This window comes from Homo sapiens, chromosome 7, assembly GCF_000001405.40.
Source record: "Homo sapiens chromosome 7, GRCh38.p14 Primary Assembly".
Lineage (NCBI taxonomy): Eukaryota > Metazoa > Chordata > Mammalia > Primates > Hominidae > Homo > Homo sapiens.
The window spans coordinates 43,996,553-44,021,172 of record NC_000007.14 but is presented as its reverse complement, the minus strand read 5'-3'; the positions used below and the strand labels follow the sequence as shown (position 1 = coordinate 44,021,172).

The window sequence follows — 24,620 nt, the reverse complement described above, 5'->3', positions numbered from 1 at the left end:
AAACTGTTAGGGCTCTGGTAGCTCCCCTGAGACCCCAGTCCCTGTTGCTTCAAACAGCTTAAGGAGGGCCTTTATGCTAAACTGTAGTCTGCAAAACAACCAAACCAAAAAGGGTAAGATACACTTATCCACCTGTAGGGTCCAGCCCCACAGGGTCGGTGGGTTTCTCTCCGTGTGCAGAGACGAGAGAGTGCAGAAATGAAGACACAAGACAAAGAGATAAAAGACAGCTGGGCTGGGGGGACCACTACCACCAAGATGCAGAGACCGGTAGTGGCCCTGAATGCCAGGCTGCGCTGATATTTATTGGATACAAGACAAAGGGGCAGGATAAGGAGTGAACCATCTCCAATGATAGGTAAGGCCACATGGGTCACGTTTCCACTGGACAGGGTGCCCTTCCCTGCCTGGCAGCCAAGGCAGAGAGAGAGAGGAGAAAGAGAGAGAGAGACAGCTTACACCATTATTTCTGCTTATCAGAGACTTTTAGTACTTTCACTAATTTGCTACTGCTATCTAGAAGGCAGAGCCAGGTGTACAGGATGGAACATGAAGGTGGACTAGGAGCGTGACCACTGAAGCACAGCATCACAGGGAGACGGTTAGGCCTCCGGGTAACTGTGGGCGGGCCTGTGGAGGAGCAGAGTCTTCTCTAAACTCCCCCGGGGAAAGGGAGACTCCCTTTCCCGGTCTGCTAAGTAGCGGGTGTTTTTCCTTGACACTAACGCTACCGCTAGACCACGGTCGGCTTGGCAACAGGTGTCTTCCCAGATGCTGGCGTTACTGCTAGACCAAGGAGCCCTCTGGTGGCCCTGTCCGGGCATAACAGAAAGCTCGCACTCTTTGTCTTCTGGTCACTCCTCACTGTCCCCTCAGCTCCCATCTCTGTATGGCCTGGTTTTTCCTAGGTTATGATTGTAGAGCGAGGATTATTATAATATTGGAATAAAGAATAATTACTACAAACTAATGATTAATGATTCATATATAATCATATCTAAGATCTATATCTAGTATAACTATTCTTATTTTATATATTTTATTATACTGGAACAGCTCATGCCCTCGGTCTCTTGCCTCGGCACCTGGGTGGCTTGCTGCCCACATCCACCAACTGCACTTTGGGAGGCTGAGGCTGGAGGACTGCTGGAGGCCAGGAGTTCAATACCAGCCTGGGCAACATACGGAGGCCACCCCCCCACAACCATCTCCAAAAAAAAAAAAAAAATAGCTAGGTGTGATGGCACATGCCTGCAGTCCTAACTATCGGGAGGCTGAGGCAGGAGGATCTCTGGAGCCCAGGAGTTGGAGGCTGCATGATGGCGCCACTGTACTTCAGCCTGGGCGACAGAGGGAGACACTGTCTCTAAATAATAATAATAATATATAAAAAGATATACGTAACCCTACGGGCTCCCCTCTCACTGCTGTATACACCTGCCTCCTTCTGCATCCCTCACCCAATTGTCCCTCCCGGCTAACAAGCCAGCTGCACCCCCCAGGCAGAGGTCCTGCAGCAGTCGGTATAGGCAGCCTGGGCAGGGGGCTTATCATAGATCTGCCTCTAGCCACGAGATCTTCTGCTCCCCCTACGGCTGCTAGCGGCAGCTGTCCACTACCCCTTAGCTTTATTCTCTCTATTCAGGGGCCTCCTGCTGCGCACTCCAAGGGGGTGCACGTTTCCAAAGAGAGATCAAGGGACATGGGGAAAGGAGAAAGGTACAGCTTGAGGTTCCCGCTCAGCCAGGACTAGGAGGCCTCTGTAGGGGCAGAACAGCCCTCCCGGCGCTCTGAGCATGCGCCGAAAAGCGCCCACGGGGGAAAGCCAAGCCGGGGTGCGGGTGGGGGCGGTGCGCTCGCCACTGACGCATGCACAGAGGCACTGGCCTCTCTCGGGGTTTTCTCGCGCCTGCGCAAGATCCTCCAGCCCGAAAGGGGGCGATGAGCCGATCCTTGCGCGGGTTTGCCCCGCCGGAGTAATCCGGAAGAGGCCTCTTATTAGGGCTCTGGTGGCGGCGGCGGCAGACACTTGGGGTCTGGACGCAACGGAGGCGGGAGCGTGAACGCCCCTCCAGCCTTCGAGTCGTTCTTGCTCTTCGAGGGCGAGAAGAAGTAAGTGACGCCGGCTGCGGCGGGCCGAGGTGCGCGGGCCTGCGGCTGTCGCATTCTGGGGTGTCTCCTGCCCATCTCTTGCCCCTGGAGGGAAACAGCTTTTGCTTGATCGTCCGCTCGGCCTGTGTCAGCCAAATTTAAGGCCGTTCCGCGAGGCAGTCGCGAGTGTGTCCATTTTGCAGATGAGGACACTGAGGCTTGGAGGCGAGCAAGTTGCCCCGGACACAGGAAGTGGCGGCGCTTGTATTCGAACCCAGAGTGTCTGGTTCTCCATAGCCCTTTTCCTCTGGGATCTGGCAGCTTCCTCTTTTGTCTCTCGCCCTCCACCTCCATCCTTCATCCCCTCCGATCTGTCAGCGGCCTGCGTAAAAGCCGCAGTGGCTCCTCGCTGCCTGCGGGTTGAAGGAGTCCAGGGGAGAGAGCTTGGGCTCACTCTGTATCTGTGGGCGAGTGGCTTGATATGTCGGAGCCCTGTTTCCTCATCTGGAAAATGAGTTTATTACTGTACTTAAACGTGGGATTCAGGCCGGGTGCGGTGGCTGACACCTGTAATCCCAGCACTTTGGGAGCCCGAGGCGGGCGGATCACCTGAGGTCGGGAGTTCAAGACCAGCCTGACCAACATGGAGAAACCCTGTCTCTACTAAAAATACAAAATTAGCCGGGCGTGGTGGCAGATGCCTGTAATCCCAGCTACTCAGAAGGCTGAGGCAGGAGAATCACTTAAACCTGGGAAGTGGAGGTTGAGGTGAGCGGAGATCACGCCATTGCACTCCAGCCTGAGCAACGGGAGCGAAACTCCGTTTCAAAAAACAAAAAAAGGGATCTGGCCAGGTGCGCTGGTTCACGCTTTTAATCCCGGCACTTTGGGAGGCTCAGGTGGGAGGATTGCTTGAGCACAGGAGTTCCAGGCTGCAGTGAGCTTTGATCGCATCACTGCACTCCAGCCTGGGCGACTGAGCGCAATCCTGTCTCAAAATAAAAAGAATTGGATGAGGTAATTTGTGTAAAACTCTTGGTCCAAAGCTCAGCACCTGGAAAACCTCATAACCATTGGCTCTTATTGTTCCCAGGTTGGCATGCAGAGGTCTTGGTCTGGCCCTTGCCAGCCACTTCGGCCTCCTTTAGAGCAGACTCTCAACTGGGGACCATTTGGTCCACAAGGGACATGTGGCAATAACTGAGAACATTATTGGTTGTCAAAGGGGGTTATGACTGGAATCTACTGGATAGAGGTCAGGGATGCTGCTGATGTCCTACAATGTCCACAAGACAGCACCCCACAGGAAAGAATGATGCACCCTAAAATGTGTGTGGTGTCAGCCTGGAGAAACCACCTTAGAAAAAAGGATATTCAACTTGATACCTCTCACCTGTGTGAGATTTTACTGTCAGCATAGTTGCCCTCAAATTGAGTGTGCATTAGAATCACCTGAAGGGCTTCTTAAACCATAGATCCCTGCGCCCCACCTCCAGAGTTCTGGGTCCAGTAAGTGGGAGGTGGGAGACTCTAACAAGTTCCCAGGGGATTCTGATGCTGCTTATCTGGGAACTGCACTCTGAAAACCCCTTGTCTTGGAAAATCCAATGGAAGTTTCCTGTCTTTGTCCATCTAAGCGTTCACTAAAATCATAGTAAATGCCAGAGCATGACTTGTTTTGGGGAATGGATGGAAGGACTGCACACTCCAGCCAGGGGGATGGTTGCTTTCGGAACTCACAGGGTCAGGACCAGCCTCACCGTGTAACTTCAGGGCCTCTCTTCTTCACCTTTTGGTTGCTTCATTATGTTGGCATAAGAAAAAAGGAACAGGCCAGGCATGATGACGTGTGCCTGTGGTCCCAGCTACTCAGGAGGCTAAGGCGGGAGGATCACTTTAGCCGAGGAGTTGGAGGCTTCAGTGGGCTATGATCACACCACTGCACTCCAGCCTGGGCAGCAGGAGAGATCATTTGAGGCGAGGAGTTCAGGACCAGCGAGGACAACAAGGCAAAACCCCATCTCTACCGGAAAAAAAAAAGGAGGAATTCAGAAAAGGCCAAGGTTCCATAGACCTGGGGTAGCAGGAAGTAGGGGACCGGGTTGGCGAGGCCTTTATGGGATGAAGAGATTGAGAAAGGCCTTCAGGAAGAGGCAGAGCTTATTTTTCCTTTTTATTTTTATATTTTTGATACAGAGTTCCACTCTGTTGCCCAGGCTGGAGTGCAGTGGCATGATCTCGGCTCACTGCAACTCCACCTCCCAGGTTCAAGTGATTCTCCTGCCTCAGTCTCCCAAGTAGCTAGGACTACAGGCATGGATCACCACACTCAGCTAATTTTTTTTTTTCTTTGTATTTTTAGTACAGACAGGGTTTTGCCATGTTGGGCAGGCTGGTCTTGAACTTCTGACCTCAGGTCATCCATCCACCTCAGCCTCCCAAAGTGTTGGGATTACAGGCACGAGCCACCACACCTGGCCGGGAGGAGACAGGGTTTAGACTCAGGGTGGGAGGAGGGGAGCCCCTGCTCCTCATCTGTGGCCTCTGTGTCTTCCTAGGATCACCATTAACAAGGACACCAAGGTACCCAATGCCTGTTTATTCACCATCAACAAAGAAGACCACACACTGGGAAACATCATTAAATCGTAAGTTTCCCGTCACAGGCTCTCAGGGGCTGTGTTTAATGGGCCCCTCTGGGCAAAGCACAAGTTCCAAGTCTTCCTCAGTCTCTCTGAGCTACAGGAAGTCCTTCTGGGGGCTTGCTCTGGGCATTTTATAACCTTGGTACCTTTTTATCAAAATGACACCGACCTCCATGTCTTCACATAAGCCACGCTTCTGTAGTGGCTTATTCTGTAGATGAACACGTGCATTTACATTCACTGTTTTTTTGTTTGTTTGTTTTTGAGATGGAATTTTCTCTCTTTGTTGCCCAGGCTGGAGTGCAATGGCACGATCTTGCTCACTGCAACCTCCGCCTCCCGGGTTCAAGTGATTCTCCTGCTTCAGCCTTCCTAGTAGCTGGGACTACAGGCCCACGCCACGATGCCCGGCTAATTTTTGTGTTTTTAGTAGAGACGGGGATTCACTGTGTTGGCCAGGCTGGTCTCGAACTCCTGACCTCAGGTGATCCACCTGCCGGCTTCCCAAAGTGCTGGGATTACAGACGTGAGCTACTGTGCCCGGCCTTACATTCACCATTAAGTGCACATTCTGTAAATGAACGAGCAGCAGATTCCAGCACAGTAGGCCTGTGTGTTATTCATGCTGAGGGACATTGAAAAGCAGTCAAGATTAGCTCCCCTCATGCCACCCGTTTGTGACCTCAGTGCCACCTGGGCCTCTAAGATGTATGTGGCAGAGACTAGAACTTCTATTTAACAAGAGAAAGAAGTAGGAGTTCTGTGGCTATCCAGTGCCCCTAATGGGCGCCCTGCATTGGTTGGTGGGTGTTTGTTTATACCAGTGAGGTCCTAGCCAGGTGGTTGGTCAGGGATGTGTCTGCCATTCTGGCCTAGGGACTTGTCATTTTACTGTAGACTTGGCTCTTCCCTCTGGTGCCACCAGCGAAGCCAGGCTTTTCCCCGTCTGTGAGTGGGGTCTGCCCAGTCTCCTGGTGTGGTCAGGCACGGGGATGGAGGACTCCTGCCCGGAGCCCAGCCAGTGGGGCACCCAAGCTCTCCTGGGGCCCTGCTGCTCCCCTGCTCTTGAGCTCAGTGTTGCCACCTATGCACGGGTCCCCCTTGTGGTGCTCACACCACTCTGAGCCGCTCTAGAGGAGACCCCTGCATGCCCAGGGCACAGTACACGACGCAGCCCCATGGCACAAGGCCCAGTGTGCGTGGCCAGCCGCTGGCGGCTGTGCTGCTCGGAGGGCAGAGTTCCATTTGCATTCCACTCACTGCCGGGAGCTGGCCCTCCTCTCCTGCTGCCTTTATTTGCTGCGTGGAGGCTCTTTGTGGGCTTTTTGGGTCTGAGTCACTGAACACTGGCTGGACATTCACTGCCTGGGAGATCTCTTTGCCAGCACTGCGGTGCCCGGTGGGAAGAGGTTGCTGGAATCTGTTTCCAGCTCGGGTCCTTCAACCTCATGGATGCAGGGTGTGTGTGTGTGGCGGGGGTAGGGTGTCCCCACATGAGGTATCTTCCTAAAAGTGTTACTTTCCTTGAAGACTTTTGGGAAAAAAAGTTGGGGGGGATTTTTGGCTAGAAAGTCTGTTCTTCTGCTCTGATCTGGCTGCTACCCAGCTTGGGCATGAGGCTAGACCCTCACACTGTCTGTCCCTGGACCTCAGACAGTGTGACCTAAAGGACCCGCAAGTGCTATTTGCTGGCTACAAAGTCCCCCACCCCTTGGAGCACAAGATCATCATCCGAGTGCAGACCACGCCGGACTACAGCCCCCAGGAAGCCTTTACCAACGCCATCACCGACCTCATCAGTGAGCTGTCCCTGCTGGAGGAGCGCTTCCGGGTGAGGGCGGGGCCTGGAGGGGCAGACGGGGTGGGCTGGACACTGGCCCGTGTGCCCAGGCCTGGGACAGCCCTGGCCTGTTTCTTCGGAGGTCCTGGGGGAGAGGCGGCGGTGATGGAAGAGCAGGGACTTCCACCACAGGCTCCAGGACATGTGGACTGAGGGGCTGTGGAGTCTGGGCCTGTGGCTCCCGTCTGCCCCATGGGACTTCTGTAGTGCTGCAGGGTCCCTCGGGTGCTGTGGGCCAGATCAGGGCGGGGACCTACTGTCCTTTGGGGGTGCTCTTCTATGTCCCTTGTCGGTGATTGGCAAGGCCTGGTCCTTCCAGGCCTCTGGGAGGCAGCTCACACCAGGGTGGCCCACACCTGTTCCTGGCAGGGCGCCTGGGAATCTAGAACAGTTTAGAGGGGAAAGAGCCACAGCAAAGAAAAGCCGAGGCAGGGTGATCACGAGGTCAGGAGTTCAAGACCAGCCTAGCAAACATGGTGAAGCCCTGTCTCTACTAAAAATACAAAAATTAGCTAGGCATGGTGTCATGTGCTGTAGTCCCAGCTACTCAGGAGGCTGAGGCAGGAGAATCGCTTGAACCCGGGAGGCGGAGGTTGCGGTGAGCCGAGATTGTGCCACTGCACTCCAGCCTAGGTAACAGAGCAGGACTCCATCTCAGTCAATCAATCAATCAATCAATCTCAGCGGTTGAACTACCCTTGACATGGTTCAGCTCTGTATCCACACCCAAATCTCATGTCAAATTGTAATTCCCAGTGTTGTGGGAGGGACCTGGTGGGAGGTGATTGGCTCATGGGGGCCGACTTCCCCCTTGCTGTTCTCGTGATATTGAGTGAGCGCTTGTGGGATCTGGTTGTTTAAAAGCTTGCAGCCCTCCCACTTCACTCTCTCTGTCTCTCCTGCTCCAACATGGCCAGACGTGCCTGCTTCCCCTTCGCCTTCTGCCGTGATTGTCAGTTTCCTGAGGCCTCCCCAGCCACGCTTTCTGTACAGCCTGCAGAACTGTGAGTCAATTAAACCTCTTTTCTTCATAAATTACCCAGTTTCTCATAATTCTTTATAGCAGTGTGAAAACAGACTAATGGACCCTTCTGGTTGAAGGAATGCAGCCATTCTGCTTGTTTGACTATGTCCTTTCTGTTCATCTCTATTTCCTGGGAGGTGTTTATCCAAGTGCAATAGGAGGTATTGGTGACCGCACAGTCCCCTCAGTGTTCTGCTAGTAAATAGTTGAAGGTTGATCCTTGATCTCCTGCGTTTTCAGTCTGGCATGGAAAAGCCCCCGTGCAACTGGTAAAGATATCAATAAGCACCAGGAGGTATCTAAATCCACCAGGAGCCATAGGCATCACGTTGACGTCCATTTACCAGTCTTCCCTGGCAAGATTCTTCTGAATTGTGCTGCCTTGGCCAAAAGAGGTATGGGAGGGGCTGGGCGCAGTGGCTTGTGCCTGTAATCCCAACATTTTGGGAAACCAATTCAGGTGGATCATTAGAGGTCAGGGGTTCAAGACCATCCTGGCCAACATGGTGACATCCCATCTCTACTAAAAATACAATAAGTTAGCTGGGTTTGGTGTTGGGTGCCTGTAATCCCAGCTACTCGAGAGGCTGAGGCAGGATAATCGCTTGAACCTGGGAGGAGGAGGTGGCAGTGAGCTGAGATCGTGCCATTGCACTCCAGCGTGGGCAACAAGAGTGAAACGTCGTCTCAAAAAAAAAAAGTCCGGGCGTGATGGCTCACACCTGTAATCCCAGCACTTTGGGAGGCCAAGACGGGTGGATCACGAGGTCAGGAGTTCAAGACCAGCCTGGCCTAGATGGTGAAACCCTGTCTCTACTAAAAATACAAATATTAGCTGGGCATGGTGGCATGCACCTGTAATCTCAACTACTCAGAGGTCTGATGCAGGAGAATTGCTAAAACCCAGGAGGGAGAGGTTACATTGAGCCGAGATTGCACCACTGCACTCTAGCCTGGGCGACAGAGCAAGACTCCATCTCGAAAGAAAGAAAGAGAAAGGAAATTCCCCAGGGAAGTACCTTGGCTGATTTCATAAACAGGTACTGAAGGAAGCAGAGGCATGTGGAGGACTTCCCCAGCTCATGCAGCTATTTGGGCCGTGGCGTCTGAAATTTATTATTTCAGAGTCACCCCTTTGATGACCTTAGCAGTGGACTGCAGTCATCTGTTTAGGCCTCTCCATGGCCCACGTCAATGCCGCTATTTCTGTTTGTTGCACATTTGATTTCCTTGTTGTTGGCATTTAGAAGGCCCCCTGTTTCCCAGATCACACCACGGGCATGGACCACAGAGATTGCATCTTGTGAGTCTGTAGAAATGGTCAAGGCCTTGTCCTCTCTTAGGTCCAGAGCTCAGGTTAATGCAGATTTTCCCGGCCGTCTGTGCTGAAGTCCCTGTGGGGAGGCTCCTGGCTGGTTTCCTGTAGGTAGACAGCTACACGTCCTGCCCTTCATTGGCTTCTTTTCATGAAGCTCCTGCCATCTACAAAACATGTCTCCCTTCTTGAATCACATCTCTGTTATTGAAACTCTAGAAGTCGACCGGGCATGGTGGCTATGCCTATAATCCCAGCATTTTGGGATGCCAAGGCGGGTGGATCACCTGAGGTCAGGAGTTCAAGACCAGCCTGGCCAACATGGCGAAACCCCGTCTCTAATACAAATACAAAAATTACCCAAGCATGGTGGCCACTGTACTCCAGCCTGGGCGACAGAGCAAGACTCCGTCTCAAAAAAAAAAAAAAAAGAAAAAAAGAGAAAGAAAGTATCATGCTTTTCTGCATTCTGTGAATTGTTTTAGTGAGTTATCGAACTTGAGGGCATGGTGGGAACCTCCAAATTTGCAGCCAGTTGGTGAGAAGTACATGTGGTCTGAGGACACCCAAGCCTGCAGGTGTGTCTAAAGCGAGGGCAGCCTAGTGGGGGCTGGTGGCCTTAACCTGTGGCATTTGAGGTAACATCAGGGAGTTGACATCAGAATTGCATCACATAGGCTGGGCGCGGTGGCTCACGCCTGTAATCCTAGCACTTTGGGAGGCCAAGGTGGGCAGATCATGAGGTCAGGAGATCGAGACCATCCTGGCTAACACAGTGAAACCCCGTCTCTACTAAAAATACAAAAAATTAGCCAGGCATGGTGGTGGGCGCCTGTAGTCCCAGCTACTCGGGAGGCTGAGGCAGGAGAATGGCGTGAACCCAGGAGGCGGAGCTTGCATTGAGCCAAGATCACGCCACCGCACTCCAGCCTGGGTGACAGAGCGAGACTCCATCCCCAAAAAAAAAAAAAAAAAAGACAACAGAATTGTGTCACAGGCCAGATGCAGTGGCTCATGCTTATAATCCCAGCAATTTGAAAGGCAAGGTAAGAGGATCGCTTGAGCTTGAGTCTGAGGCCGCAGTGAGCTATGACCACACCACTGTACCCCAGTCTGGGTGACAGCACAAGACCCCAACTCCAAAAAGAAAAAAGAAAAATCACAAAGAATTGCATGGCAGAGTGCCTTTCACAGCTTTAACTGCTGCAGGAACTTTCTTTTTTTTTTTTTTTTTTTTGAGAGGGGGTGAGGAGACACAATCTCTGCTAGTGATTCTCCTGCCTCAGCCTCCCAAATAGCTGGGATTATAGGCGTGCACCACCACGCCTGCCTAATTTTTGTATTTTTAGTAGAGACAGGGTTTCACCATGTTGGCCAGGCTGTTCTCAAACTCCTGCTGAGATCATGGGCGTGAGCCACCACGCCCGGCCACCTTTAGAGTTTTCTTACCACCTGGTTTTCCTCTCTCAATATCTTTCTCTCATTTCCTGCCTTAAAACTCTAGCTTGGCATCTGGGCGCAGTAGCTCATGCCTGTAATCCCAGCACTTTGGGAGGCCGAGGTGGGTGGATCACTTGAAGTCAGGAGTTCGAGACCAGCCTGGCCAACATGGTGAAACCTTGTCTCTACTATTTTTACAAAAGTTAGTCGGACGTACAGACGGGTGCCTGTAGTCCCAGCTGCTTGGGAGGCTGAGGCAGGAGAATTTGTTTGAACCCAGAGGTGAAAGTTGCAGGGAGCCGAGGTTGTGCCACTGCACTGCAGCCTGGGAGACAGAGCAAGACTCTGTCTCCAAAACAAACAAACAAACAAAAAAACCCTGTAGCTTGGGATCAGCCTTCTCTTCTATTGTTTTTCTTTAAAAAATAAAAATTAAAAATAGATGTAGATGCTATGTTGCTGAGGCTGGCCTCAAACTCCTGGCCTCAGGTGATCCTCCCGCCATGACCTCCAAAACTGCAGGGATTGTAGGTGTGAGCACTGCACCCAGCCTTATGTTTTTTTCTACATAAAAAACGGCACAGGATTATCTTTCAGAGCTAATAAATATGTTCAAATAACCACAACCCCATTAAGGAAAAATATCACTGGGCAGCAAATAATCAATCCAGACCAATATGATCACAATTGCTGTGAAGGTGAGAAAAGTTCATTTTTATTACGTTTCCCCAAGAGACACACTCTATTGTTCTCTTGAAAACACACAGCTCATGTCCTCCTTTAGAACACACATCCTCTTTAAAGTAACATACAAACATGCCAAATCAAGGTAAAAAATTACATCTGAATTCTCACATTTCAAACATAGATGAAATATCAAATAAAAATTTATTTTTACAAGAATTTAGGGGAACTACTACATAGCTATAAATGTAATATATATGTTAACTAAGTATCATAGATAAAAACCATGCTCCCTTCAGCAGCACGTGTAATAATAGATACAAAGATTGAAAGGTAAAAGATTTAGGATGAAAAGAATCCTCTCTTAAAAAGGAAAACAAAATTATATGTATGTGTATATAACAGTTATAATACCATCACACAGCTTTATAGAAACAGCATCTATTCAAAAATACCAGTATTTCCAAAATATTTAAAATAATATTTAAAGTAATAATAACATTTAAATAAATAAATATATTTAATAAATATTTAAATAAATAAAATAATATTTAAATAATTCTATACCCATGTTTTTCAAAATAAACCAATAAAATAGTATATATTAGACGTGTTAGTATATATATCTGACACATGTTAAAAATCACAACTGAATTCTCACAATTCAGTCACAAACCTAAACAGCAAATAAAAATTTCTATCGTCAGAATTTAGGGGAACTACCAATAGCTATAAATAGAAGAGATTATTATGGAAGTATCATAGATAAAAAGAGTGCTCGCTTCAGGAGCACATATAATAATACAGAAACAAATTTAAAGATGATAAAATATTTAGGATAAAAAGAATTGTCTCAAAAATGAAAAGAAAATTATCTTTATGTATATATAACAACTATAACTCTCATCAAAAAACTACAGGAACAGCATGTTTTCAAAAGTACAACAATTTCCAAACTATTTGAAATAAATCTATGAATAATTCAATGGCCAACATTTTCCAAACAAACCAATAAAATGCAGAGTGTGCATGAAGCTATCTGTTACAATCTGTGGCACTGATATTTCACAAAAGAATTCTGTGCCAATCTGAGCCCCTGCATTGTGCCTTCAAATGCTCCTGGACTGTGGCAACCAAGTCCGTAAGAAACAGGACCTCCAGGTTCCGCCCCAGGGAGGTTGGAATTCAGCAATATAAAAAGGGTGGTGGTGCCCCAGGAAAGGGTGGAACTGGAAACACTCCTGGTTTCTTACTTTTCTCCAAGGACTCCTAGAAGGACCCCATCCCCCTCCCCCCACCCCTGCTCCTAGGAGGACAACGTGATCACTGTATTCAGCTCCATCAAGAATGGTCCAGGTTCTTCTAGATGATCTGCACAAATGGTTCCTCTCCTCCTTCCTGGTGTCTGCCATTAGCATTGGAATAAAGTTCCTGCTGAAAATCCACATCTCCCCTGGGTCCGGTGTTCTGGAAGGGAGAGAGACAATGTCACACTTCAAGGAGGCAGCTCTCTAGACAGGAAGGTTATTCACATCCCATGTCAAGTCTAGAGTTCAGAGCAATTGAGAAATGCAATTTTATCTGCTGCCTTTCATTCTATACCCTGCTTCTGAACCATCGTGTTCAACTGTGAAACTCACACTTTGGTGACCATGACTCCAAAACTCACTTAATACACCCAAGGTCAGCCCCAGTGATCTGCTTCATAGCAAGGACTTTGGGTGGGTCTGCCCAGGGAGTAGGGCACCCTCAGAGAATGTGGCTTTGGACTTCATCACAGCTGAGGCCTTTTGTGTCACTTAAGATCTAAACTTGTAACCATGCTAGATGTGTTTCTAATGTGACAACATCACGAACCACAAGTCCAGAAGCCTAATCCTTAATCCTACCTCCTCATGATGAAGTCTCATGCTCTGTGCTCAACGTGGTTAGCTGCACAAGATGTAAACCAAAGCTTCACTGAACCCTCGACCCAAATCGGTAACTCAAGTGCGTCAATCATAATGAACCTCCCCAAACTCAGTATTTATGATTATTTTTGAGGCAGGGTCTCACTCTGTCGCCCAGACTGGAGTGCAGTGGCAGGATCAGGGCTCCGTGCAGCCCCGACCTTCCAGGCTCCAGCAATCCTCCCGCCTCGGCCTCCTGAGTAGTTGGGAGTAGAGATGCGTCCCACATTGCCTGGCTAATTTTTGTATTTTTGTGGAGAGGGGATCTCGCCACGTTGCCCAGGCTTGAAGCCGGATCAAGCAATTGGGTTCTTCGGATTTCCGAAATAGACCCCAATATTCTGCCTTTACCCCGGAGGATGCAGATGTACCTTCTCTCAGGCCGATGACCTCAGGCCTCCACGGTCCCTGGAGCTCTAGGAAAGGCGAGCGCGATCTCGCGCCCACACCCAGTGCTCTGGGTCATAAGCCTGGATCTGGAAAAACAAACGCCCTTTGAGAAGACGGGGACTCGCCAGGATACCCCTCTCTCCCCTCATCCAGCCTCCAGCCCACCCAATTCCTCCCCACCTCCTCCACCTCCCCAGGCCCCACTCACCTCCTCCAACTCCTCTGGGGAAACCCAAGCCCTGCAGCTCATGGAACAGAAGAAGTGGAACCGACGTTTCTGGAACAGGACTATCTGAGAGCGGTTCTTCCTGGCCCTCGGGTTCATGCAACGGCGTAACTGGAACCGACGCTTACGGACCAAGGGTATGTGAGAGCGGTTCTTCCTGGCCCTCGGGTTCATGGAACGGTATAACTGGAACCGACGCTTACGGAGCAAGGGTATGCGAGAGCGGTTCTTCCCATACAGGAAGTGGAAGATGTTTTGTTTGGAGTCCTCGTCGTCCTCCTCCATGTCATTGGCCAGGTAGCTGAGGACAGGAATCAGGTTGCTGCTCAGGGGCACCACCAGGAGAGACCTCCGGCTGAGGTCAGCTTCCCAGAGAGGAAGGTAAGGGACCGTTCCTAGCTCAGGACTGGCACCCACCCTGCAGAGAGCCATGCCTTCCTCAGGAGGGCTCTGCTGGACAGAGACCTGATCAAGAGCGTCTCCCACTCCTTCAGGATGGAGACAAAAACCCAACTGGTGGCCAAGAGTGGTGGCTTACGCCTGGAATCCCAGCACATTGGGAGGCCAAAGCAGGAGGATCACTTGAGGCCAGGAGTTTGAGACGAGCCTGGGCAACATAGCAAGACCCTCGTCTCTATTAAAAATATAAGAAATATGCCAGACACGGTGGCTCATGCCTGTAATCCCAGCACTTTAGAAGGCTGAAGCAGGTGGATCGCTTGAGACCAGGAGTTGGAGACCAGCCTGGTCAACACGGAGAAACCCCATCTCTACTAAAAATACAAAAATCAGCCTGGTGCGATGGCACACCTGTTAGGCCTAGCTACTCAGGAGGCTGAAGCATAAGAATTGTGTGAACCCAGGAGGCGGAGGTTGCAGTGAGTTGAGATTGGGCCACTCCATTCCAGCCTGAGAGGCGGAGCAAGACTCTGTCTCAATAAACAAACAAACAAACAAACTGTCCAGGTGTGGTGGCACAGCCCTGTAGTCGGAGCTAATAAAGAAGCTGAGGTGGGAGGATCGCTTGAGCCCAGGATATGGAGGCTGCGGTGAGCTATGATCTCACCACTGCACTCCAGCTTGGGGGACAGGGCAAGTCTGTCTCAAAAAAATAAAAGAAATTGAATACATTGATATTTTGCCAGGACCCTGCCTTCTACAGGCATCTAGTCTAATGGGACTGGGAGTAATCAAGGCAGATGACCTAATCCCAGTGTCCAGGATGTAACTAGAGAGCTACGGGCATGCAGAAGTTGGAAGATGAGGGAAGGCATCACAGAGGCTGTGGGGTGAACTGACTTCAAGGAATGGGTCCTTCCCTTCAGAGCCACATGTATGCGGGACACCCAGACAGAAAACACAAACACAAAGTCGAGTGGAGGGCATTTGGAAGGAGCAGTGAAGCCGAGCCAGGAAATACCAAGATGGCGAGCCAGTGTGCTTGTAGAGATTGTAGAGAGGGTAGAATTGATACTGTGGACCCTGGCCTCGATAGAGAAAGGCATCAGCTAAGGAAGTTGTTCAGGTGGGCAGTGAGGTTGTCGTGCTTTGGAAAGATGTTCAGGCTGCACTAGGAAGCCCCCTGGCTTGGGGAGAGACTCCAGGAGACCCCAGCGGGGAGCATTTGACAGTGGATTCGAGTGATGCGAGGGGGACCTGAACTGTGGCCTCTGTCATGGGAACCCAGAGGAGGTCGATGGCGTTTGTGGTTGATGTGGGAAGGAGAGAGAGAGAAGAACCAGAAACGTCTGCTTGCTGGAGGAAGTGGCATGTCCGCTCCTCCACTCCTTTTCTTTTCCCCTTAGGAGTGGTTTATGGTTCCTTTTGTTTTATTCTTTTATTTGTACACTGGCATTGGAGTTTGTTTTTTTGGCTTTTTTTTTTTTTTTTTGAGAAAAAGTCTCACTCTGTCACCCAGGCTGGAGTGCAGTGGCTCGACCTTAGCTTACTGCAACCTCCACCTCCTGGGTTCAAAGAGTTCTCTTGCCTCAGCCTCCCGAGTAGCTGGGATTACAGATGCACACCACCACGCCCAGCTAATTTTTCTATTTTTGGTAGAGACGGGGTTTGGCCATGTTGGCCAGGCTGGTCTCGAACTGCTGACCTCAGGTGATCCGCCTGCCTCGGCCTCCCAAAGTGCTGGGATTACAGGCGTATTCCACTGTGCCCAGCCTGAGTTTCTGTTTAGAAACAACAGTCTATGATAGTATAATCCTCTCTTTTTTGTACACAGAGTAAAGAGGACAAATAGGTGAAAGAATAAATGAAAGGCTGGAATCCCACTTCCCCCGCTGTCCCAGGGCATTGGATATTGACGGATAGGAGGCAGCAAACCACTCACAGAGCCAGGAAGAAATGAAGGCGTTGGTATTGCCAGGAGGGGAAGCCGGCTCGGCTGAAATACGCTATGACCATAGCAAGGAGATACTGATGGAGAGAAAGGAACACAGAGAGGGAGAGGTCACATCTTGGAAGAGGAAGATTGTGGAGAGGGGGAATGAGGGTCTGGGGAGGGGCTGCCCATCAGAGAAGGGACCTCAGTGTTGGGGTGACTGTACTCATTTGGAAATTGCGGGATGGAGGGGTATTCGAAGGTCGGATGCAAATCCGAGAAGCCAGAGGAAGGGTTTTGGGTGATGCTCCCAGGATGGTGGGCTCCGATGGGATCTTTGGAGGGGGTGTGTCTAGGTTGGCTGGTGTCAGGAGGGTCTTTTGTGTGCCAGGCAGAGAACTGTCCCGAAGAGCTGAGAGTAGAGGGGCCAGGAGCTTCAGGGCTGCGGCCAGACTGTGGCCCAGAGCTCAGATCCCAAAGGACCCATAGGAGAGGCAGGGGCCACTCATTCACTCTGCAAGAGACCAGCAGAATCCTGAGGGAGATGCTGACAAATCATAAAAAGACCAAGAATAGCCGGGAGTGGCGGCTCAAGCCTGTGATCCCAGTACTTTTTGAGAGGTGGAGACAGGAGGATCATGTGAGCCCAACAGTTCGAGAACAACCTGGGCAACATAGTGAGACCCTGTTTCCACAAACATTTCAAAAATTAGTTGAGCATGGTGGCATGTGCCTAGTCCCAGCTCCTCAGGAGGCTGAGGAAAGAAGATTGCTTGAGCCCAGGAATTAGAGGCTGCAATGAGCTATGATCATGCCACTGCACTCCATCCTGGGGAGCAGAGCTAGATTCTGTCTCACAAAAAAAAAATTTGTGGGTGCCAAGACTCAAGACCATGGGAGCTGGTCGGGCACAGTGGCTGACGTCTATAATCTCAGCACTTTGGGAGGCCAAGGTGGGTGGATTGCCTGAGGTCAGGTGTTCAGGACCAACCTGGCCAACATGGCAAAACCCCGTTTCTACTAAAAACACAAAAATTAGCCAGGCGTGGTGGTTCATGTCTGTAATCCCAGCTGCTTGGAGGCTGAGGCAGGAGAATCGCTTGAACCCAGGAGGCATCGGCTGCAGTGAGTGAAGATCGAGACACTGCCCTCCAGCCTGGGCAACAGAGCAAGACTCTGTCTCACACACACAAAAAAAAAAAAAAAAAAAAGACTGTAGGAGCATCTGGTGGGAGGTGGTGGAGGGAGAACTGTGGGTTTGGAAGCTGCGCCCTCCCCCCAGCCATGCGTTGGAACAGGAACAGTTACATGGAGAACAACCTTACCTTGTCCGACACCCTCAGATCTTTGTCCCAGGCCAGGAATCTTTTAATGACAGGATCCTCTGTGATTAGAGAGCAGATGTCAGTGTGAGAAGCAGGACAGGGTTTCCGTGGGAGCAGCAGGGCAGCGAGGAGAAGTGTGCCTCCCGGGGGGAAGTCTCAGGATTGTGGCCGCGGGTGAGGTGGATGGGAGAGGGGAGAATGACTTTCACTGGGCAAGGGAGAGAGGCTCCTGCTCTGAGACTCCCCTGAGAAGAGGCCGAAGGAGGCCCTGGGTGTGAGAATCTACAGGATGTAGAGCTGGGAATCAGCCAGGACCCCCTCCAGCAGACACGGAGGGACCACTGCAGAGTCATAAAGGAATTCCCATCATTTCCTCATGAGACAGTCACACATCAGGGTGTGACCATGGCCTTGGTATCCCCCACTATGGATGGAGACACTTAGGTTTAGAAAAGTCAGTAAGAGACATTAAGTTTCAGAGGGCACAGCTGAAACCACTTTCTTTGTTTATTGATTTTGTTTTTCTTTATTTGATTTTTATTTTTATTTATTTATTAATTTATTTTGAGACAGAGTCTTGCTCTGTGGGCCAGGCTGGAATGCAGTGGCCTGATCTTGGCTCACTGCAACCTCTGCCTCCCGGGTTTAAGCGATTCTCCTGTCTCAGCCTCCCGAGTAGCTGGGATTACATGCATGAGCTACTGTGCCCAGCCTTGGTTTTTCTTTTGAGACAGGGTTTTGCTCTGTCACCCAGGCTGGAGTGCAGTGGTGTAGTCATAGCTCACTGCAGCCTCAAAGTCCTGAGTTCAAGCAATCCTCTTGCCTCAGCCTCCCAACGTGCTGGGATCTCAGGCGGGAGCCACTGCGCCTGGCCCGAAACCAAGCTTTCTTATCCCAAGCGCTGACCTTTATCAAGTTGACCTAATCCTTTATCATCTCCTAAGTGTCCCTCATGAGTGATCACTTCACATTCCTCCCACATGGAGAGCTCACCCACTGGGGCCTATTTTTCCCATTGGAAAAGTGTGGTTATTGGAAGTTTCCTGTTTTTGGAAAGAACAGGATTGGAGGTGCTCTCTGGGGTGTCCTCCTACCAAGCAGCCTGTTGAAGGCCTCGTGGTGCTCAGGGAGCACGAGCGACACTCGCCGTCGCTTCAGCTTCATCTTGAGGCCACACAGCATCTCCGCCACCCAGATCTCCTCAGGCTCAGGGGCGAGCACCTTCCGTGGCTCCTCCTCCGACTCCTCAGATTTGTCCCACCACTCCATCTTCCTTTTCCAGCAAAAGGACCTATGCGGGGGGCTGGGATCTACCCCAGGGGCTGAGTAAAGAAACCAGGCCACGGTGTAATGCTTCTGCAGTTGATCACACTAGAGCCCGACCCAAAACCCCAAACCACTCTCCATCCTCCCCAGCCTCGCAGACTGCTGGCTTCTCCAAGCCATCTTTCCTTCTGTCTGTCTCCTCTGCTGAGCTCCATGTGCCGCTCCTTCTCCTCCCCATTCTCCCGTTTCTCTGTCCTCAGAACACTTCCTCATATCCTTCCCTGGTCCCTGGCTCTCTGAGTCCCTTTTTTTTTTTTTTTTTTTTTGTTGTTGTTGTTGAGAAACAGTCTTGCTTTGTGGCCTAGGCTGGAGTGTAGTGGTGCGATCTTGGCTCACTGCAACCTCTGCCTCCTGGGTTCCAGTGATTCTCCTGCCTAAGCCTCCCAAGTAGCTGGGATTACAGGTGCCCACCAGAACGCCCAGCTCATTTTTGTGCTTCTAGAAGAGACAGGGTTTCACCATGTTGGCCAGGCTGGTCTCCAACTCCTGGCCTCAAGTGATCTGCCTGCCTGGCCTCCCAAAGTGCTGGGATTACAGGTGTGAGCCACTGAACCCTGCCTCAGTACCTCCATTCTTCCCACACACCCTCCTCACGTGCTCCTTCCTGACTTCTGGGCCCGCCCTTCCTTCTTTTTTTTTTTTTTTTGAGACAGCGTCTCACTCTCTCACCCAGAATGGAATGCAGTGGCACTATCTTGGCTCAAAACAACCTCTTCCACCTGGGTTCAAGCGATTATCCTGTCTCAGCCTCCCGAGTAGCTGGGATAACAGGCATGCCTGGCTAATTTTTGTATCGTTAGTATAAATGACGTTTCGCTATATTGGTCTGGTTGGTCTCGAACAACTGACCTCAAGTGATCCACCCATCTCAGCCTCCCAAAGTAATGGGATTACAGGCATGAGCTACCACACCCGGCCTTCGTTTTTCTTTTGACACAGGGTTTTGCTCTGTCACCCAGGCTGGAGTGCAGTGGTGCAGTCATAGCTCACTGCAGCCTCAAAGTCCTGAGTTCAAGCAGTCCTCTTGCCTCAGCCTCCCAACGTGCTAGGATCTCAGGCGTGAGCCACTGCACCTAGCCCGAAACCAAGCTTTCTCATCCCAAGCGCCAACCTTTATCAAGTCTAGCCTAGTCCTCTATTGTCTCCTAAGTGTCCCTCATGAGTGATCACTTCTGAGTCCTCCTGCGTGGAGATCTCACCCACTGGGGGCGTATCTTTCCCATTGGAAAAGTGTGGTTATTGGAAGTTTCCTCTTTTTAGAAAGAACAGGATTGGAGGTGCTCTCTGGGGTGTCCTCCTACCAAGCTGACTGTTGAAGTCCTTGTGGTGCTCAAGGAGGATGGGTGACACTCGCTGTTGCTTCAGCTTCATCTTGAGCCCACACAGCGTCTCCACTACCCAGGTCTCCTCAGGCTCAGGGGCGAGCTCCTTCTCCGGCTCCTCCTCAGATTCATCTGACCACTCCCTCTTCCTTTTCCAGCCAAGGGACCTACATGGGGGGCTGGGATCTACCCCAGGGGCTGAGTAAAGAAACCAGGCCACTGTGTAATGCTTCTGCATCTGATCACCTTAGACCCCGACCCAAAACCCCAAACCACTCTCCATCCTCCCCAGACTCGCAGACTGCTGACTTCTCTAAGCCATCTTTCTGATTTTCTCCTCTGCTCAACCCCATGTGCCGCTCCTTCCCCTCCCCATTCTTCTCTCTCTCTGTCCTCCGAACGCTGCTTCATGTCCTTCCCTGGTCCCTGGCTCTCTGAGTCCCTCCTTTTTTGTTTTGTTTTGTTTTGTTTTGACACAGAATCTTGCTTTGTCACCCAGGTTGGAGTGTAGTGGTGCAATCTCAGCTCACTGCAACATCCATCTCCTGGATTCCATTTATTCTTCTGCCTCAGCCTCTCAGGTGGCTGGGATTACAGGTGCCTGCCATAATGCCCAGCTCAATTTTGTACTTTTAGTAGAGACAGGGTTTCACCATGTTGGCCAGGCTGGTCTCAAACTCCTGGCCTCAAGTGATCCGCCTGCCTTGGCCTCCCAAAGTTCTGGGGTTACAGGTGTGAGCCACCGCACCCAGCCTGAATTTCTCCATTCTTCCCACACACCCTCCTCAGGTTCTCCTTCCTGACCGCTGACCCTTCTTTTCTTTTCTTTTCTTTTTTTTTTTTTTGGAGTGCAGTAGCGTGATCTCAGCTCACTGCAACCTCTTCCTCCCAGTCTCAAGTGATTCTCCTGTCTCAGCCTCCTGAGTAGCTGGGATTACAGGTGTGCACCACTACCACTTGGCTAATTTTTATACTTTTAGTAGAGATGGGGTTTCACCATATTGGCCAGGCTGGCCTTGAACTCCTGACCTCAGATGATCCGCCCGCCTCGGCCTCCCAAAGTGCTGGGGTTACAGGCGTGAGCCACCGCACCCGGCCCCCTTCCTTCGTCTTAGTCAATCCTATCCCACCTCTTCTTCCACCAGTCCCCTCACCTGATGGTCCCAACACTTCATCATCCACCACCTCCTGGAGGGGGTACCCCGAGGTGCTCCGCTGGGGACTCTGCTCATTCTGGCGGTGCGGTTGACGGCTGGTCGTGATCTTTCCCGTAATCTGTCCCCTCTTACGGAACCTAGTCTCCGTTCTGTCCATGGCCTTCTTCTGGACACTGCTAGGATCCAGAAGAGTATGTTATCAATTCTCAAGCCTAGGAGAAGTCAGGAGTGGAGAACAGCTCTGAGAAGATACTGTTGTCCAACTGATCTCCAGGCACCACGGAGTCCGGTCCCTCCAATCAGGAAGGTCGGAATCTCTGATGTCATCGTTCATGCCAACCTGGCAACCAGTTTGAAAAAAAAACACATGTAACTGCCAGGCTGATCTCTTGTCCTGGAGATCCTGGGTGAATGGTATCTCCTGCCACTGTCCCAACCTCAGACCATTGTCCAAAAGCATCTTCAGGGACTCCACATCCCTCTGTTCCCTGTCCCAGCAGAGGCTGTGTCCTCTCCACTCAAAGCCTGAAGCATGTTGGGGTCTCTTCGTCTCTGTACGTGCCCATTTCAGAGTCCAGTCTGGTGGGAGAGGGAACAGAGTGGGAAAGAAAACTAGGGTAAGCAGAAACGATGAAACCTTATAAGAGTGAGATTATCATGTACAAGAGTGAGATTATCATGTACAAGAGTGAGATTATCATGTACAAGAGATCCCAGGAATACTGACTTGATGAAAAAGTCACATCAGAGCACTCAGTTTGGCAGAGCTTTTCTGCTGAATGTTTACTCACATTCACTGTCCAAGATTCTGTACTGGGGGTACATACGTCCTCTGCCCTAAGGCAATTTTGAGTCCAAGAGACATTTTGAGGCCTAAAAATCATAGGAAACTGCCCCTGAGCTCACACATATTTCCAATGGAGCTCACACATATTTCCAATGGTGTCCCCAATTTCAGGGAATCCATGGATTACCTAAGCCAGCCCCTCCAGTTCGGCTAAGAAACTCTAGTCTATATATCAAGTTTTGTATCATATGTATTGCTCTGAACTCAGAAATTTCCCTTCCATTTATGGATTCTATGAATAAAATATCACATGTACAAAAAGACTAAGTCGAAAAATTTCAGCTGTGCACAGTGGCTCATGCTTGTAATCCCAGCACTTTGGGTGGCCAAGGGAGGAAGATTGCCTGAGGCCAGCAGTTCAAGACCAGTATAGGCAACATAGCAAGAGCCCATCTCTAAAAAAACAAAACCAAACCAAATTAGCCAGGTGTGGTGGCTGGCACCTGTGTTCCAACTACTTGGGAGACTCATGTGACAGGAAGATCACTTGAGCCCAGGAGTTAGAAGCTGCAGTGAGCCATGATCTTGCCACTGCACTCCAGTCTGGGCAACACAGCAAGATACTGTGTCAAAAAATTTTTTTTTGATAAAAAATAAAAGAGTTACATGACATTCAGAGACCATCCAAAAAACCTGCGGGTTCCCGGCTGGGCTCAGTGGCTCATGCCTGTAATCCCAGCACTTTGGGAGGCCAAAGTGGGTGGATCACTTGAGGTCAGGAGTTTGAGACCAGCCTGGACAACATGGTGAAACCCCATCTCTACTAAAAATACAAAAAATTAGCCAGGCATGGTGGTGGATACCTGTAATCGCAGCTACTCAGGAGAGGGCGCTGGAGAATCACTTGAACTCATGGTGCGCAGGTTGCAGGGAGCCAAGATCGCACCATTGTGCTCCAGCCTGGGCAACAAGAGCAAAACTCCATCTCAAAAAAAATAAAGAACCTGCGAGTGAGTTCCCACACGTTTTCCTGATGGGCTGCTGCTTTCCTAGGAGTCTCTCGCTCATAGAAAAGGCACAAACTGAAAGAGGAAGCAGATCCCATTGCTGTGGAAGTCCCATTGTTAGGAAGCTCTGCTTTTCTGGAGTTCAAATTCGCATTCATGACGCTTTAAACCGTCAGAGCTGGGTGGGTCCTCCTACAACAAAATCGTTTGCTCTCTCTCTCCTAGTTAACAGGCTTTCAAATATTAGAAGATCAATGTTCTGACCCCATTAAAATTTCTCTTTTGTGGAATGAAAAGCTCTGATTTAACCCATCTTCAAGCCTGGTTTGATGGAGGAATAGGGGCTGAGTCACCTGCATTTCCCCTCCCTGCACAAAGTCCTGGGCCCAGATCTGGGGTCTGTCTCTGCTGAGGGTGGGGTGAACCAGGAAGCACCTCCCTCTACATCTCCTTGATGAATGGGTATAATGGTTGCCATGGAACTGGGGCTTGTTTGATGACCTGGGGCTGGGTGGGCCTCTGAGAGCCTTTATAGCTGATTGCCTTTTGGGAGAGGGCAGGTGGGAGCCCCACCCTGTCTTATGAGTCACCCCAAAGGTGCATGGGCAGGCAGGTGCTGGGGAATCGGCTACTCCCCAGAGCTTGGCGTGGCCATCCCTGTGGCCCCTCTGGGAGTCTGGAGCCCATTCCCTCACACTGGTACTCTCTGCAGCTGGGGACATCTGCACTAGGAAGACAGGACACGGCATGGAAGCTGGCCTCTGCCCAGAAGCCATGACATTCTGGTCACCAGCCTGATGCTATAAAACGAGTGTCACGGCCGGGCATGGTGGCTCACACCTGTAATCCCAGCACTTTAGGAGGCCAAGGCGGGTGGATCATGAGGTCTGGAGTTCGAGACCAGCCTGGCCAACATGGCGAAATCCCGTCTCTACTAAAAATAAGAACATTAGCCAGGTGTGGTGGCACATACCTGTAGTCCCAGCTCCTCTGGAGGCTGAGGCAGGAGAATCACTTAAACCCAGGAGGCGGAGATTGCAGTGAGCCGAGACCACGGCATTGGACTCCAGGCTGGGCAACAGAGCACGACTCCGTCTCAAAAACAAAAAAAAACGAGTGTCACCTGGGGCTACTTGGCCAGACACAGAGAGCAAGGAGACATCCCTATTATCTGTCAAAAATAATTGTTGGGGCTGAGCACAGTGGCTCATGCCTGTAATCTCAGCACTTTGGGAGGTCGGAGCAGGAGGACTTGAGGCCTAGAGTTTGAGACCAGCCTGGGCAACATAGCGAGCACCCCATCTCCAGAAAAAATTTAAAAATTGGCTGGGCGCAGTGGCTCATGCCTGTAATCCCAGCACTTTGGGAGGCCGAGGGGGATGGGTCATTTGAGGTCAGGAGTTTGAGACCAGCCTGGCCAACATGGTGAAACCCCATCTCTACTAAAAATACAAAAATTAGCCGGGCATGGTGGTGGGCACCTGTAATCCTAGCTACTTGGGAGGCTGAGGCAGGAGAATCGCTTGAACCCAGGAGGCGGAGGTTGTAGTGAGCTAGGATCATGCCATTGTACTCCAGCCTGGACAGCAAAGCTAGACTCCATCTCAAAAAAAAAAAAAAGTAAAAAATTTAAAAATTAGATGGGCATGGTGACATGTGCCTGTAATCCAGGTACTAAGGAAGCTGAGGTAGGAGGATGACTTGAGTCTAGGAGTTCGAGGCTGCAGTGAGCTCTGATCGCACCACTGCACTCCAGCCTG

The 24,620-nt window shown here is 50.7% G+C and overlaps 1 protein-coding gene and 1 pseudogene across 6 annotated transcripts in view, besides 1 other annotated feature; one reads left to right on the top strand and one right to left on the bottom strand.

Annotated features, from left to right (window-relative positions):
* Window positions 669-963: a silencer, noted in NCBI's record as "tiled region #7454; HepG2 Repressive non-DNase unmatched - State 8:EnhW, and K562 Repressive DNase unmatched - State 12:CtcfO". NCBI's record gives its function as "represses a minimal TATA promoter and a strong SV40 promoter by Sharpr-MPRA in HepG2 and K562 cells {active_cell/tissue: HepG2 | K562}" and the evidence as "EXISTENCE:reporter gene assay evidence [ECO:0000049][PMID:27701403]".
* POLR2J4 (RNA polymerase II subunit J4 (pseudogene)) overlaps window positions 1,979-24,620 on the top strand; it is a 78,300-nt pseudogene continuing 55,658 nt past the window's right edge. The window contains exons 1-4 of the transcript NR_003655.3: window positions 1,979-2,112; window positions 4,650-4,739; window positions 6,390-6,567; window positions 7,494-7,580. The product of NR_003655.3 is annotated as an RNA polymerase II subunit J4 (pseudogene) (transcript). The remainder of the gene's footprint in view (window positions 2,113-4,649; window positions 4,740-6,389; window positions 6,568-7,493; window positions 7,581-24,620) is intronic.
* Window positions 11,049-23,276, bottom strand: SPDYE1 (speedy/RINGO cell cycle regulator family member E1). Of its 5 annotated transcripts, none has more exons than NM_001378423.2 (9): window positions 23,214-23,276; window positions 21,064-21,645; window positions 19,889-20,107; window positions 18,356-18,583; window positions 17,262-17,320; window positions 15,946-16,031; window positions 13,587-13,905; window positions 13,360-13,464; window positions 11,049-12,506 (listed from the first exon to the last, which is right to left on the bottom strand). In NM_001378423.2, the coding sequence occupies exons 2-8, from the start codon at window positions 21,221-21,223 to the stop codon at window positions 13,405-13,407; spliced, it is 1,131 nt and encodes a 376-aa protein (NP_001365352.1). In that variant the 5' UTR covers window positions 21,224-21,645; window positions 23,214-23,276; the 3' UTR covers window positions 11,049-12,506; window positions 13,360-13,404. The 5 variants fall into 5 exon arrangements, with proteins under 5 accessions (NP_001365352.1, XP_016867504.1, XP_016867505.1 ...); XM_017012015.2 differs by lacking the exon at window positions 23,214-23,276 and adding an exon at window positions 22,717-22,750; XM_017012016.3 differs by lacking the exon at window positions 21,064-21,645.

Coding starts and splice junctions, on each gene's coding strand:
- SPDYE1 (NM_001378423.2), bottom strand. CDS start 21,223: ATGGACAGAACGGAGACTAGGTTCCGTAAGAGGGGACAGATTACGGGA. Junction 16,032..17,261: donor ATCTGAGGGTGTCGGACAAG/GTAAGGTTGTTC, acceptor TCTCTCCATCAG/TATCTCCTTGCTATGGTCAT. Junction 13,465..13,586: donor CCCCAGAGGAGTTGGAGGAG/GTGAGTGGGGCC, acceptor TTGTTTTTCCAG/ATCCAGGCTTATGACCCAGA.